The sequence below is a fragment of the Homo sapiens genome, chromosome 14 (assembly GCF_000001405.40).
Source record: "Homo sapiens chromosome 14, GRCh38.p14 Primary Assembly".
In the NCBI taxonomy this organism is placed as follows: Eukaryota; Metazoa; Chordata; class Mammalia; order Primates; family Hominidae; genus Homo; species Homo sapiens.
Window position 1 is genome coordinate 25,123,988 of NC_000014.9, and position 15,605 is coordinate 25,139,592.

At 40.0% G+C, this 15,605-nt stretch overlaps 1 long non-coding RNA gene across 1 annotated transcript in view, besides 2 other annotated features; it reads right to left on the minus strand.

Moving 5' to 3' along the window:
- Nucleotides 1–498: 498 nt before the first annotated feature.
- LINC02286 (long intergenic non-protein coding RNA 2286) overlaps nucleotides 499–15,605 on the minus strand; it is a 31,778-nt gene continuing 16,671 nt past the window's right edge. The window contains exons 4-5 of the long non-coding RNA NR_184204.1: nucleotides 2,931–3,294; nucleotides 499–703 (exon numbers count right to left, since the gene is read on the minus strand). This is a non-coding gene — a long non-coding RNA (long intergenic non-protein coding RNA 2286). The remainder of the gene's footprint in view (nucleotides 704–2,930; nucleotides 3,295–15,605) is intronic.
- Nucleotides 8,876–9,170: a silencer, noted in NCBI's record as "tiled region #7379; K562 Repressive non-DNase unmatched - State 12:CtcfO". NCBI's record gives its function as "represses a minimal TATA promoter and a strong SV40 promoter by Sharpr-MPRA in K562 cells {active_cell/tissue: K562}" and the evidence as "EXISTENCE:reporter gene assay evidence [ECO:0000049][PMID:27701403]".
- Nucleotides 9,072–9,121: a silencer, noted in NCBI's record as "silent region_5645". NCBI's record gives its function as "represses an Ori minimal core promoter by ATAC-STARR-seq in GM12878 lymphoblastoid cells {active_cell/tissue: GM12878}" and the evidence as "EXISTENCE:reporter gene assay evidence [ECO:0000049][PMID:35858748]".

Consider the following 15,605-nt stretch of genomic DNA (forward strand, 5'->3'; position numbering starts at 1 on the left):
ACCTTATCTTTACAAAAAATCAAAAAATTAGCTGGGCATGGTGGCGTACCCTATAGTCCCAGCTACTCTGGAAGCTGAGGTGGGAGGTTGGATTGAGCCCAGGAGGAGGAGGTTGTAGTGGGCCGATATCGTGCCACTGCACTCCCACCTGGGTGACAGACTGAGACCCTGTCTCAAAAAAAAAAAAAAAAAAAACTATCTATAGATATAGATATATGTATGTATATATAAACAAAGTGACAACCAATACAATTCAAATTCATGACAGTTTAAAAAGCAGATACTGGCTGAACTTAAATTGTCAATGCTAGGTGTATTAATAGAAAGATGAGTTGGCATAATTATTTTTACTCATGACAATCTTAATTATTGCTAATCATTATTTAAATTGTAATTGTTATTATTATTTTGCTATTTTAATTATAAAGTCATTTTAAAATACTGAAGATTGCTCAATTTAGAATGCACGCTCCCCATACTGAGAAATAATAAGTATAATTTAACAAAAGAGTATTTATTGCATCTTTATCAGCAACATATGCATGGCACTTAGCAAAGGTACAGGTCCTTGGATGTTTGAGTTTTCAACACTGTCATGAGCCATATAATGATTCAATTTTCCCATCACTTGTCTATGTCCAAATTGCCTCAAAAGTCTTGCACGATGAGTGGTAACAGCATTTGCCCTCCGTTTGGTGTACACCTGATTGTGAACACAAATACATAGGCAGCTATTAGAATCTCATGTTCATCCAGATGACACACCTGTGTTGCATTAATATTTATATTATGAAAATGAAAACACAAGGTTACATTCTCACGGACCTTTTGAATTTTGAGGAAAATCTGAGGACTCTCAGAGGACCTAGGGCTCCAAATTAAGAAACCTTGGTTGAGGCCGGGCGCGGTGGCTCACGCCTGTAATCCCAGCACTTTGGGAGGCCGAGGCGGGCGGATCACGAGGTCAGGAGATCGAGACCATCCCGGCTAAAACGGTGAAACCCCGTCTCTACTAAAAATACAAAAAATTAGCCGGGCGTAGTGGCGGGCGCCTGTAGTCCCAGCTACTTGGGAGGCTGAGGCAGGAGAATGGCGTGAACCCGGGAGGCGGAGCTTGCAGTGAGCCGAGATCCCGCCACTGCACTCCAGCCTGGGCGACAGAGCGAGACTCCGTCTCAAAAAAAAAAAAAAAAAAAAAAAAAGAAACCTTGGTTGAATTATCACCTAAGTTTCAGCCCCATTTAATTCTCACAGAAACCCTATGACATAGACACGCGCATCAACCCAACTCCACCAATGAGGACTCTGGGGCACACAGAGGTTAAACAACTTGTCCAGCACCACACAGGCAGTGAGAGAGGAATGACGATTTCATCCCAAGCCCATCTGTCTCCAAAGCCTCTCTTTTGAGAACTCTCAATACCCCTACTCTAGAAAATCTGTCCAGAATCCCGACGGAAGTGCATAGGAGTGATCACTGGGCAGACAGGGACACATGCCTAGCCTCTTTGCAGTTACTGGAAAAAGTTAATCATAAGCTGAACTAATGCAGTGCCTGTTTTGTGGGACAAAGATCTCAATTGTAATGACAACTGATTTACCCCACATGTACTTTGTCTCAGAATCAGCCTCAAAGCCTTCAGGCCTCATCTGGACATTTGAGGCCCTTACCTGAAGCCAGTGATGAGCTATATTGTTGGATGAAAATTGCTTTTTGTGCCTTGAAGTCTGGCAGCTTGTTCATTCATTTATTCATTAACTAATTGTACAGAATAGTGGGCTACCCTTCCAGGTATTCTATCGGTATAAGAAAGCAACTCACAGGTCCTGTCTCTCTCATTTACAGACCTAGAATATTGCCTCTGGTTCCCTTGCTATTGGGCATGAGTGCCTCCTTCCCTCCCTCTCAGAAGAAGGCATGAATTTGCTGTAGGGTGGTGAAAAAATATTAACTAATCTAGGCATCAGAAACTGGGTGGAAGTCCTGCTTCTGCTCCTAAAAGCTCTGTGACCTCGAACAAATCATTTATCTCATCTGATCACAATTTTCCCACCTTTAAAATAAGAATATTGATAATGAATTTATTGTGAGGGGTCTATAAGACCATGTGTATGACAACACTAGGGATTTTGAAAATTTTCAACAGTAGAACAGGTTATTATTTTTTATGTCCCCCAAACACTTACTGTGTACTTATTAAATGTCAGTATCTGTGTTGGCACTGAAAATACAAAGATTAGACATGATCCCTGATCTTAATGAGCTTGTAGTCTAGTAAGGGAGATTAGTGTTTAGATAAGAACATTGTGATGTAGTAAGATGGATAATTGTAGAATTATGTGCAATGAAATAGAGGCAGTACTCAAAGCGACTTGAGTAGGACAGTTTAAGCTACATAGAGCAGAGACATGAACTTAGCTTCTAACTACCATTACAAGTCATAGAAACACCCAGAAGCATGGTGTGTTTGGGAATTAAGATCACTGAGGTGGGGCAGGATGTGAGGTAAGTATCCCTATGTCACAGAGGACCAAGGCTCCAGACTTGTTCTACTTTTGCTGTACCATGATTAGATACCGTTGTAATGCTCACCCATGCTATTTCCTTTCTACCCAGAACTGTAGAAAGTAATTGTTTTGTGCCAGTTTAGAATGCACTTGGAGGATGAAAAACATCATTCTCCACTTAATTGGCTTTTGTTGCTATTTTTGCATTATGGTTGCAGGACCAGCTCTGAGAATTTTAGAGCCACCTCAACAGGGTGTTCCATCTTGTTCTTTTTGATAGGTCTCCTTTCCTTTTGGCAGGCTGTTAATTTCCTCTCAATATATAATTTGGCCTCTGCATTGTTGCTCTTTTGATGGCCTATTTAGGCCCCCAGAACTAGAATACACTTGGCCAAATGCATTATAAACAAAGGAGATTTTACCTCTGTAGTTCTTTAGGAAACAGGTAGAATTTCCATTCCTTCTATGAAGTTGATGCCTGGAGCACTGAGTGAATTAACTTGTCTTTTTGCCTTATTGAATTGATCAGAATATTTGGCATCTTTCATCTTCAACCCTTGTCGTCATTATTGCCTTGTGACTTTTGTGAAGAATGTGGTTTCTATCACATAATTCTATAAATTCAATCAAACCATGACTCAGAAAGTGTTGATATCTTCTGAATGACATTTTCAACAAATGCCCCAAACAGTATGGATTGAACAGCATCATCCATTGAACTAATGAAAGCTGGAGCCTGTATTATCCTCAGTCCACTGCCTTAAACCTCAGGGAACAATTAAATACCTGTGTATTGGAGGCAATGAAAAGAGAAAGTGAGTATCATAAGTCTGTGGGCCCTTTTGATTTGGTTTGACTGCGACGTGATTTCACAGCCTACATCACAGCCACAGGCCCTTCTTATAAATAACTTTTTCAGTCTGAATTTGAAAATGTGCAGGTAGTTTTTAGAAAGTCTGGTCTGGATCAGAGGTCTCCAACATGGGATGATCACACCCACAAGACAATCCATTGCCACACTGGAAGAATATATTATAACTAAGTATATATATAGTATGCATAAAATATTAGAACTAATATAAAATACAGTACTTAAATATAAAATTAGTTATCATATATTAGAACTAATATAAAAAAGGATGAATCAGAGCTTTATGCAATGAAGAAATTGGTAGTGCCCTCAGATGGTGTAGATTTCAGATGGTCAAGGTGCCATGAGGGAGGGGTGGTGCCGCACAACAGTGCTGTCATTCATCCTTTCCTTTCAGCATCTTATGACGGTTTGCAGTTTATATATATAAGCATGGGAAATGGGCAACAGTCTTAAAAGATTTATGTATTGAAATCATGTGATAAAGGTAATGCAAGGTCAATGGCAGAGGTGATCACATCTGACAAGAAATTGACCCATAACTTCAACATTATAAACAAAACTATTTGAAATATGGATTTTCTTATGAGCTGAATTGTGTCTCTACCCCACCCAATTCATATTTTGAAATCCTAACCCTCCAGTATCTCAGAATGTGACATTTTTTAGAGATAAGGTTTTTACAGAGGTAATTAAGTTAAAATGAGATCATTAGGGTGGGCTCTACCAATATGACTGGTGTCCTTATAAAAGAGGAAATTTGGACACAGAGATATGAATAGAGGCAAGAACATGGGAAGACCCAGGGAGAAGAAAAACATCCACAAGCCAAGAAGAGAGACCTGGAACAGATCCTTCCCTCGCAGGAACAGCTCACAATAAACCGATGCCAACACTTTGATTGATCTTGGACTTCCCGCCTCTAGAACAGTGAGAAAAGAAATTTCTGCTGTTTAAGCTACCCAATCTTAGCTCTTTATTAAGGCAGCCGTAACAAACTAATATAGATTCACATCCAGTCTCATTAGCCATGTGCCTTAGTCATTGTATATTATGCCTTGAGTTATTAATTAATGATAGTGTGAAGCCATTATGACTAGAAAGACATTTGAAACTATGCTTTCAGAACATGAAGACAAACCAAGACTTTACAAAAAATGAAATATATTCAATTCACTGCTGCCACTGAAAATATTACCATCAATAATAAGATCTCTAAGAGGAGAAGAAAGGATTTTTTGTGCCATTAAAAAATAAAAATTTTAAAATAGTGACATTTATTTTAATTTGGCTCCTAAAATTATTTTATTTCTACTTTGCTATATAGATAATATGATATCTATACAGTAGTACATGTATATAATTTACAAATAAATATACATAAATATGATCAAATGGTAAAATGTGTTTTATTGATGAGGTATGTAATTAAAAATGTTTAGGGACCACTGGCCATGATAATGTGGCTTAGATTCCTCCTTTCTAAACCTAGCTATTTTAGGTTCTTCAGATATAGGACATGTTAGGGTAATTTATCAAGGAAATAGAAGTTCTGAACTAACCAAAGTTTCACTATAAGAGGAAAGGATTTATGAATTGGATGACTCATATTCTCCTATGAAGATTTAAATAAAAATGTTTTCTTTATAGGTATCAGGTTTTAAAGATAGTTTCTAAAATGATTTAAATGAAGCTGTTTTTAGAAAGTAAGTTTTGTTTATTTTTTAAACATTTGACTTCCATTCAATACTATTGGTAAAATTCCCACAGTGGCAAGAAAGTCAGGCACAGCCCTCCAAAGTAGTGAAGGGTACTTAACAACCCATTTATTTGGAAGTATTTTTGGTATTTTGTATAGAATAAAATCAGGAAGCTCAGCAGCTACCTCTGGAGAATGCAGTTTGATTCAGTCAAAGCATCAGTGTGTGGAACTGGGTAAGGAGAGAATTTCACACACATCACACACACTCATATACACATATTAATACATATACACACATGCACAAATATACACTTACACATACACACAGACTTACATACTCACAAATAGACACACACATACACACACCAGCATTTATGTATCCTAGGGTAAAGACTTTTTACCAGAGACAAAGCTACTAACTTCCATGGTAGAAGAATATATAAGGCTGGGTGCCATGGCTCATGCCTGTAATCCGAGCACTTTGGGAGGCCAAGGTGGGAGAATTGCTTGAGTTCTGGAGTTAGAGACCAGCCTGGACAATATAGGGAGACCCTATCTCTACAAAAAATTTTTAAAAATTAGCCAAGTGTGGTGGCACCACCTGTAGTTCCAGTTACTTGAGAAACTGAGATTGGAGAATTGCTTGAGTCCAGGAGGTACAGGTAAGACCGTGTTGGCTGTGATTGTGCCACTGCAATCCAGCCTGGCCAACAGAGCAAGACTCTCTCTCTCTCTCTTTTTCTCTCATTGTGGAATGATTATTAAATGATGATTACTCTATATAGTACTATATATATATAGTCATATATATATATTCATATATATATAGTCATATATATATATACACACACACACACATATATATAAAGTCAGAAAACTCCACAGACATTAGACCTCATAAGGCAAGTCACTCTGTGCTTACACATCCCAAATGTTTTGTTCTTCGGAGCCTTTTTAAGAATGGAAGGAAAATAAAAAATGCAAGAACTTTTTATGATTATTTATTGTGCCACTGCTAATTTGAAGCCTGCCACTCATAACAAGGGGAATGATGATTACTATATATATAGAAATATATAGTAATATATTCTATATATATGAAATATATAGTAATATATTCTATATATATGAAATATATAGAATATATTCTATATATAGTAATCTTATTCTATATATAGTAATATATAATAAGATTACTATATATAGAAATATACAGTAATATTTTTATATATATTTTAATATCTAGTAATATATATTACTATATATGTTATATGTAAAACAATATATACTATATATAGACATAGTAACATATATTACTATATATACTATATATAGACATGTCTATATATAGTATATATTGTTTTATATATACTATATTATGTATGCTATATAATATAATAAAATATATAATATGCTATAATATATAACATTATATAATATATATCTCAAAGGATGGTTAAGCTTTCAAAAGGCAGGGATAAAATAAGGGGCAATTTAGGAAAATAGGAATATATAGTATATTATGTATAAACAATATATACGATATATTATCGTATATATTATGTACGATATATTATCGTATATATTAAATACTATATATTATTGTATATAATATATACTATATATAAATGTATATGATGATATCTATATTACTATATATTTCTATGTATATAGTACTATATGTATAGTAATCATCATTCCCCATGTTATGAGTGGCAGGCTTCAAATTAGCAGCGGTACAATAAATGATCATAAAAGGCTCTTGCATTTTTTATTTTCTTCCATTCTTAAAAAGGCTCCAAAGAACAAAACATTTGGCATGTGTAAACACACAGTGACTTGCCTTATGAGGTCTAATGTCTGTGGAGTTCTCTGATTACCATCAAGAAAAGCAGAAGGAAAAACATTGGTTCAGGATCATTTCTACTTATCCTTTTCTTTCCAGGTAAAAGAAATCTTTACCTGGGTCTAGACCAGCAAAAGCTCTTTGAAGCAGGAGATACACATCACTGGGTACGGCTGGTTCTCAAACATGCACTTGATTTTATTCACAAGTCTTACAAATCATCACATGCCCAAAGAAACACCTAGGTGAACTAAAGTTCTGATTTTATACACTCACTGCCACCTGTCACTCACAGCCTGCAAGTCTCTGTGCCAATGTCAGAAGCTGGAAATATATTATGATGGTTAAGATCAGTGCTCCTTATCAGTCATTTTCTAGTGGATTGTAAGTTGCTCATGTGGCAAAGTTAACCTCTTAGGAAGAAGGGGTAGATGGAGAACAATAGAAGAGGTGGAACTAAGTTCTGGGGTACTCCAGCATCAAGAGATTGAGGAGAGGGAACTGGGATCAGTTGGATGTCAGGAAAGCAAAGCAAGAGTGTCATCATGGGAACCAAGAGAAGAGAGAGTGATCAGCTCTATGAAATGACACCCCCATTTTTACATCCCCCAATTCCCCATTTATCTTTCTCAGCTGCAAACATGGATGATTTTCTTCTATGCCGTGAGGTCACTGAACGTATAAGTAGAAATTCCTAGCTCTCAGAACCATTTGGGACTTTTGCAACCTATACAAAACTTCAGTATCCTCCTTTTTTTCCTATTTTATATTTTCTCTTTTGAATTTAATCCTCATGCGATTAGAGTACGCTAAAAGGGACCAAGCTTAGATTAGCAGAAGAATTTTACTAAAGGTTCAAGTATGCGTTTGGCAATGAAATTCCATCCAGTATGTATTTACTAAATGCTTACTAAGTATAAGATGCTATTCTCAATGCTGTAGAAAAAAAATTAAAATTCTATGTTCACTGAAGTCAACATCTCAAATGTTGGCAATGTAGGAATGAAATTATCTTAAAAGAGATAATGCATAATTTGCTGTGGAAGTACAAAGGAGGAAGAGATCACATTCAGCGGGAGGGATTATAAAAAACCTGGAGGAGGATTTAGTGTGTGGGTGGACCTCAAAGGGTTGTTAAGCTTTCAAAAGGCAGGGATAAAATAAGGGGCAATTTAGGAAAATAGGAACAACATGAGCAAAGGCACAGAGATGGGAAACTATAGCTTGTTTTTGGAGAAATGGTCATAGTTAAATTTAGCTGAAGCATAAAGATATGTATGTAAAAAAGAAGTGAGTAAGACTGAAGAAGTGATGGCATATGTCAGAGAGTCCTGGGTAGAGAGGCAGTGAGGCAGGGAGGTGGGGAGGCCACATGGTGAACTGCAAAGAGCATGTGCTTCCCAGCCAGAGATGGGTTAGAAATCAAGGATCTCCCCAAAATATTAGTTCTGCAATAGGATTGTCAAATCATGTCTCCAATCTATAATTTTTCTAATACAAAAGACACGTGTATGCTTACCTTAAAAAAAATCCCACGGCCAAACCAAACCAAACTATGATGTTCATAATGATGGCTGTGAGACTTTTTTGTTAAAGCTTTTTGTTAACAAAAAGTTAAATTGTGTTCAGTGTATCTTGTCTAAGAAGTCAGGAAAGTGAATAGGAGGCTGGGGCTGGGTAAGGGCACCTAGGAGTCACTGAGGATAGCTTTCCTGAGAGAGGTTGGTGTAGGTTGTACAGGAAAGAGGGCTGTAATAAGAACTTTTGTGTTTTGAAGGTTTAAAATCCAACTATACACCCCATTCTGAGGGAGGGAAGAGAGAAAAGGATTCTGGATCTGAGAAGTGGTGAATGTTGGAAGAGTCCTGAACGGCATCCCTCGGGGGTGGGCAGCATTTGGGGAAGCTGGCGTATGCGGCACGAGAGTGCAAGGAAGGAAGAGCTGCAACCACGTGGCTGAGCTCAGCCCTGGGAGATGGGGCCGTCCTTCCTCTGGGAGCCACGGAAATTTCTACCTGGGTCTAGGCGGGCAGAGGCTCTGCAGCAGCGGACACGCATGACTGGGTAGAGCCAGTCTTCAACAGTGCCACCGTGTGGCAGAGAGGAGCAGTGACAGTTATAACTCCGTAGAATTATATGCGGGTTCTCCCAGCCCAGCCTTGAAAACTAAGCAGCTCTCTCTTCCTGGAGTGTGAGGGCTTCAGCATCCAGGGACAAAGCCCAGTGTGTACATGGAGAAGGCTTAAAGAAGCCGATACCGTGCCTCTTGATAATAGGGAATATGAAAACTTGATAAATTAATTGAAAAGTGAAGAGAAGTGGCGAATTCAAATTTGTACGGCAGTTCTAAGTGATAATTAGAATAAAATCATTAGACAAAAAGGAAAAATATATCTAGTTCTAAAGCGTTAGCTTTTATCTTGCTAGAAAACTCAGCTGTCTAGAAACTCACATTCCTAAGCGTCTGGATTGAGATTTTCTTTTGGTTTTCATTCATCAGGGAATGAAGTGAAAGGATTGAATTTTCACGTTACACTTAACTCAGGCTTGATAAGAGTCTGGAGGAGACAGTCTCTAATAATCCTATAATCCTAGATGTCCTGTCTATACCTTTTAACATCTCTGCATTTACTCCTTGAGTTTCTTGTGGTTGAGGAAGGATTTTGAAAGGGAGATGATGAGAAAAACATCACTCATATTAGTTACTGACTGAATTACATCCATTTCTGGTCAGTCGTCATTAGGTAAAGCTCTAAATTTCAATCAGGATCTTGGCTAATTGTACTTTGGATTTGATAAGGAGTCATTGAAAAGTGAGCAATGAATAAGATTAAAGCTAGGCATTTCTTCTTTTTAAACTAATGTATCATTCATTATTGGTTTAGTGCTCATCAGGTTTTGGTAAATAAATAAAAATCTTAGATTTGGAAAGTTCTACAGTGGTCATTTAGTTCAACCTTTTATTCCCAGGCAGGAGACCTTTTCTGCAAAATACCTGACTTTTTGTGACAGAAGATCAATCAATTCAGGATCTGCTAAAACACACCTAGGGATGTAAAACTCACCACTTTGTGAAGCAGAACATTCACCTAATATTCAGAGTGTAGCCTGGGGGTAGCAACGGGGCATCCCTGGAGAGTTAGTAGGAAATGCTCGATCTGAGTCCCTATCCCAGACTTGCTGAATCTGAATCTTCCCTTGACAGGATTCCTGGGTACTGGGTACTCATATATACGTAATGTTTGAAAAGCACTGGCTAATTCTATCGTTAGATGGTTTCAAATGTTAAATGGTTTCAAACTGACATCTTACTAAAACCTAATGTTCTGGTGTGGTCTATGAACCCATCCCCACAGCCTCGGCTGTTAGCCCAGCTTCTGGCCATTCCTGCAGTTATAAAGCTTTGGCCGCCACTGCCATTGTGGCCACCTCATCTCCTTACACTCAGTAGTTTCTGACTTTCCTGGGTGTGACGGCTGGGCTTTGGCACAGCCTTGGTCACATTTTCTGTGGTAGGAGCTGTGGCAACTCCAGGGCTTGGGCCAGATCAGATCCTGCTGCACCACTGAGGCTCTGGTTCTCTCAGTGCCCCTTGAAGGGGTAGGAGAAGGTTACTAAGAAGTTTAGGGGTATTTCACTTTGGGAGGCTGAGGAGGGCGGATCGCTTGAGATAGGGAGTTTGAGACCAGCCTGGCCAGCATGGTGAAACCCTATCTTTACTAAAAATTCAAAAATTAGCTGGGCATGGTGGCACATACCTGGAGTCCCAGCTACTGGGGAGGCTGAGACAGGAGAATCCCTTGAGCCCAGGAGGCGGAGGTTGCAGTGAGCTGAGATCATACCACTGCACTCCAGCCTGGGTGACAGAGTGAGACTCTGTCTCAAAACAAAACAAAACAAAAAGAAGTGTAGGGATATTTGTGCCATGTGGAGAGTGAAGAGTCAGGAAGTATCCGGGAAATAAATGACTAGCTCCTCTTCTTCCTGCTGACTGCTGCATAGTGCAGTGCCTGCCCTGCTTCTGCAGAGACGTGTGACCAGCGGTGTTTCTTGGGAAGCTGTGTACAGCCTGATAACATACTATTTTTTTCTTGCTCTCCCTCCTTCCTTGCCATGCATGTCTTTTTTTTTTTTTTTTACCTTTTGCCCCCAGAGAAAGCAGTAATGCCTAAGCTTTGCCTTAGAGTCTGTTTTCTAAGGAACCTAGACTAAGACATCTGCCCTGTATATGTTTCACTCACTGCTTCTAATTCTGCCATCTGTCTGGCTTTGGAATGGTCAACATCTTTCATATACTTTCTTCCTTCAAATTCTACAATGCAGCTACCAGGCCTTCTCTTTTCTTGGTCAAACACCCTCAGCTTCTTTTAATGATTCCTCAAAATGCAGTTTTAGTCTCTCACCTCTTGCCTCAGTTTAATATGTCATTGTCTTAAATTGTGGCTCCTTGACTGCTCCGTTGGGTTTGGTCAGTGCAGGGCTGAGTTCATGATGGGAGGATGGGCTTCTCATTTCCTTTATTGTGGGTATCATACTATTAATACAATAAATACAGCTATCCTGACCTGGACCTATTCTTGTGGGAATGCTGGCTATTTGGGTTGTGGTGACCTGACCGGTTAAAAATGAGCTTAGGGAAATTAGATTGAGAGTGAGCAAGGTTTAGCCTTCTGTGTCAGCTTCCGAGGAAGGCCAGGGTCCTCCATTGGCCCTGGAGTTCTTTAGGATGTCTGCTTTTTCTTAAAGATAAATTTGTGTTGACTCCCAAGGCAGAGGTGGTGAGATGAGGTGTTCACGTTACTTCCCAGGAGCTTTGCCCTCCTTGGGGTTAGAGTCTTCATTTTCTATTGCCTAGACAAACCCAGAGCCAGAGGATTCCTTAAAAACATTCAAGATTGTACCACATTCACAAGAATGTGAATCTCGGAGGATGACCTAATAGCCATATGAACTGTTCTAAAGTCTAGAACATCTTGTTATTCTGGATCCCCCCCCCTTTTTTTTTTTTTTAAAAAAAAAAGACTCTATCCCCTACCAAGTTTTAGAAACTTTTATGCTGTATGAATCGGCATTAGCTGAGTGCTTATAGGGAGCAAGCACTGTACCAACTTCATGGGAAGCACAGATAAAGGTAAGAGATAATGCCTCCAGGGTCTTGTGAAGGCAAGACATATATTACAAAAGATACCTAATATGAGGAGCCTATGACCACTGAATGAGTTCAGAGGAGGGGAGGACCCTATGGCATGGACAAGTTAGAGAGGCGCTATGGAAACTTCAGTGAAGAGACCTTTAGATTTATGGTATGACTCTTTCCTTTAGCCCTCCCAGCAGAAAGTTACAGACTGGAAACTATGTTGGTATTTCCCTTATACCTAAAGGCAAAGGACATGTCATGTTCTTGATATTTACAGAACACTATGAAAACATATGGTGCAGTACCTTATCGGGGCAGAGAAATGACTACATTTTTGCTTTTAGTTAAAAACACTGGGTTGAATCAGGGATTCCCAGGCAAGATGGCCAAATAGGAACAGCTCCGGTCTGCAGCTCCCAGTGAGACTGATGAAGAAGGAGGGTGATTTCTGCATTTCCAACTGAGGTACCAGGTTCATCTCACTGGGACTAGATTGACACTGGGTGCAGCCCACGAAGGGCAAGCAGAAGCAGGGTGGGGTGTTGCCTCACCCGGGAAGTGCAAGGGGTCAGGGAACTCCTTCCCCTAGCCAAGGAAAGCCATGAGGGACTGTGCCATGAGGAACAGTGCATTCTGGCCCAGATACTATGCTTTTCCCACAGTCTTCGTAACCCACACACCAGTAGGTTTCCTCGGGTGCCTGTGCCACCAGGGACCTGGGTTTCAAGCACAAACTGGGCTGCCTTTTGGGCAGACACTAATCTAGCTGCAGGAGTTTTTTTTCATATCCCAGTGATGCGTGGAATGCCAGCAAGACAGAACCATTCACTCCCCTGGAAAGGGAACTGAAGCCAGGGAGCCAAGTGGTCTTGCTCAGTGGATCACACCCACACAGAGTCCAGCAAGCTAAGATCCACTGGCTTGAAATTCTTGCTGCCAGCACAGCAGTCTAGAGTTGACCTGGGATGCTGGAGCTTGGTGGGGGGAGGGGCCCCCGCCATTGCTGAGGTTTGAGTAGGCAGTATTCCCCTCACAGTTTAAACAAAGCCGCCTGGAAATTTGGACAGGGCGGAGCACACCACAGCACCACAAAGCCGCTGTAGCCAGACTGCCACTCTAGATTCCACCTCTCTGGGCAGGACATCTCTGAAAGAAAGGCAGCAGCCCCAGTCAGGGGCTTATAGATAAAACTCCCATCTCCCTGGGGACAGAGCACTTGGGGGAAGGGGTGGCTGTGGGTGCAGCTTCAGCAGACTTAAACATTCCTGCCTGCCAGAACTGAAGAGAGCAGAGGATCTCACAGACAGTGCTTGAGCTCCGCTAAGGGACAGGCTGTCTCTTCAAGTGGGGTCCCTGAACCCCGTGCCTCCTGATGGGAGACACCTCCCAGCAGGAATCGACAGACACCTCATACAGGAGAGCTCTGGCTGGCATCTGGCGGGTGCCTTTCTGGGAAGAAGCTTCCAGAGGAAAGAGCACGTAGCAATCTTTGGTGTTCTGTAACCTCTGCTGGTGATACCCAGGCAAACAGGGTCTGGAGTGAACCCCCAGCGAACTCCAGAAGACCTGCAGAAGAGGGGCCTGACTGTTAGAAGGAAAACTAACAAACAGAAATCAATAGCATCAACATCAACAAAAAGGATGACCACGCAAAATTTCCATCTGAAGGTCACCAACAGCAAAGACCAAAGGTAGATAAATCCATGAAGATGAGGAAAAACCAGCACAAAAAGGCTGAAAATTCCAAAATCCACAATGCCTCTTCTCCAAAGGGTCACAACTCCTCACCAGCAAGGGAACAAGACTGGATGGAGAATGAGTATGACAAATTGACAGAAGTTGGCTTCAGAAGGTGGGTAATAACAAACTCCTCCAAGCTAAAGGAGCATGTTCTAACCCAATGCAAGGAAGCTAAGAACCTTGACAAAAGGTTAGAGGAATTGCTAACTAGAATAACCAGTTTAGAGAAGAACATAAATGACCTGATGGAGCTGAAAAACACAGCACGAGAACTTTGTGAAGCATACACAAGTATCAATAGCCGAATTGATCAAGCAGAAGAAAGGATATCAGAGATTGAAGATCAACTTAATGAAATAAAGCATGAGGGCAAGATTAGGGAAAAAAGAATGAAAAGGAAAGAACAAAGCCCCCAAGGAATATGGGACTACATGAAAAGATGAAAGAGAGGACACAAACACATAGGAAAACATTCCCTGCTTATAGATAGGAAGAATCAATATCGTGAAAATGGCCATACTGCCCAAAGTAATTTATAGATTCAATGCTATCCACATCAATCTACCACTGACTTTCTTCAGAAAACTAGAAAAAACTACTTTAAATTTTATATGGAACCAAAAAAGAGCCTGTATAGCCAAGACAATCCTAAGCCAAAAGAACAAAGCTGGAGGCGTTATGCTACCTGACTTCAAACTATACTACCAGGCTACAGTAACCAAAACAGCATGGTACTGTTACGCAAACAGATATATAGACCAATGGAACAGAACAGAGGCCTCAGAAATAATGCCATACATCTACAACTATCTGATCTTTGACGAACTTGACAAAAACAAGCAATGGGGAAAGAATTCTCTATTTAATAAATGGTGTTGGGAAAACTGGCTAGCCATATGCAGAAAACTGAAATTGGACCCCTTCCTTACACATTATACAAAAATTAACTCAAGATGGATTAAAGACTTAAACATAAGACCTAACACCATAAACACCCTAGAAGAAAACCTAGGCAATACCATTCAGGACATAGGCATGGGCAAAGACGTCATGACTAAAATACCAAAAGCAATGGCAACAAAAGCCAAAATAGACAAATGGGATCTAATTAAACTAAAGAGCTTCTGCACAGAAAAAGAAACTGTCATCAGTGTGAACAGGCAACCTATAGAGTGGGAGAAAGTTTTTGCAATCTATCCATTTGACAAAGGGCTAATATCCAGAATCTACAAGGAACTTAAACAAGTTTACAAGAAAAAAAAATCCATCAGAAAGTGGATGAAGGATATGAACAGGCAGTTTTCAAAAGAAGACATTTATGTGGCCAATAAACATGAGAAAAAGCTCATCATCACTGGTCACTAGAGAAATGCAAATCAAAACCACAATGAGATACCACCTCACGCCAGTTAGAATGGTGATCATTAAAAAGTCAGGAAACAACAGATGCTGGAGAGGATGTGGAGAAATAGGAATGCTTTTACGCTGTTGGTGGGAGTGAAAATTAGTTCAACCATTGTGGAAGACAGTGTGGCGATTCCTCAAGGATCTAGAACCAGAAATACCATTTGACCCAGCAATCCCATTACTGGGTATATACCCCCAAAATTATAAATCATTCTCCTATAAAGACACATGCACATGTATGTATATTGTGGCACTATTCACAATAGCAAAAACTTGGAACCAACCCAAATGTCCATCAATGATAGACTGGATTAAGAAAATGTGGCACATATACACCATGGAATACTATGCAGCCATAATAAAGGATGAGTTCATGTCCTTTGCAGGGACATGG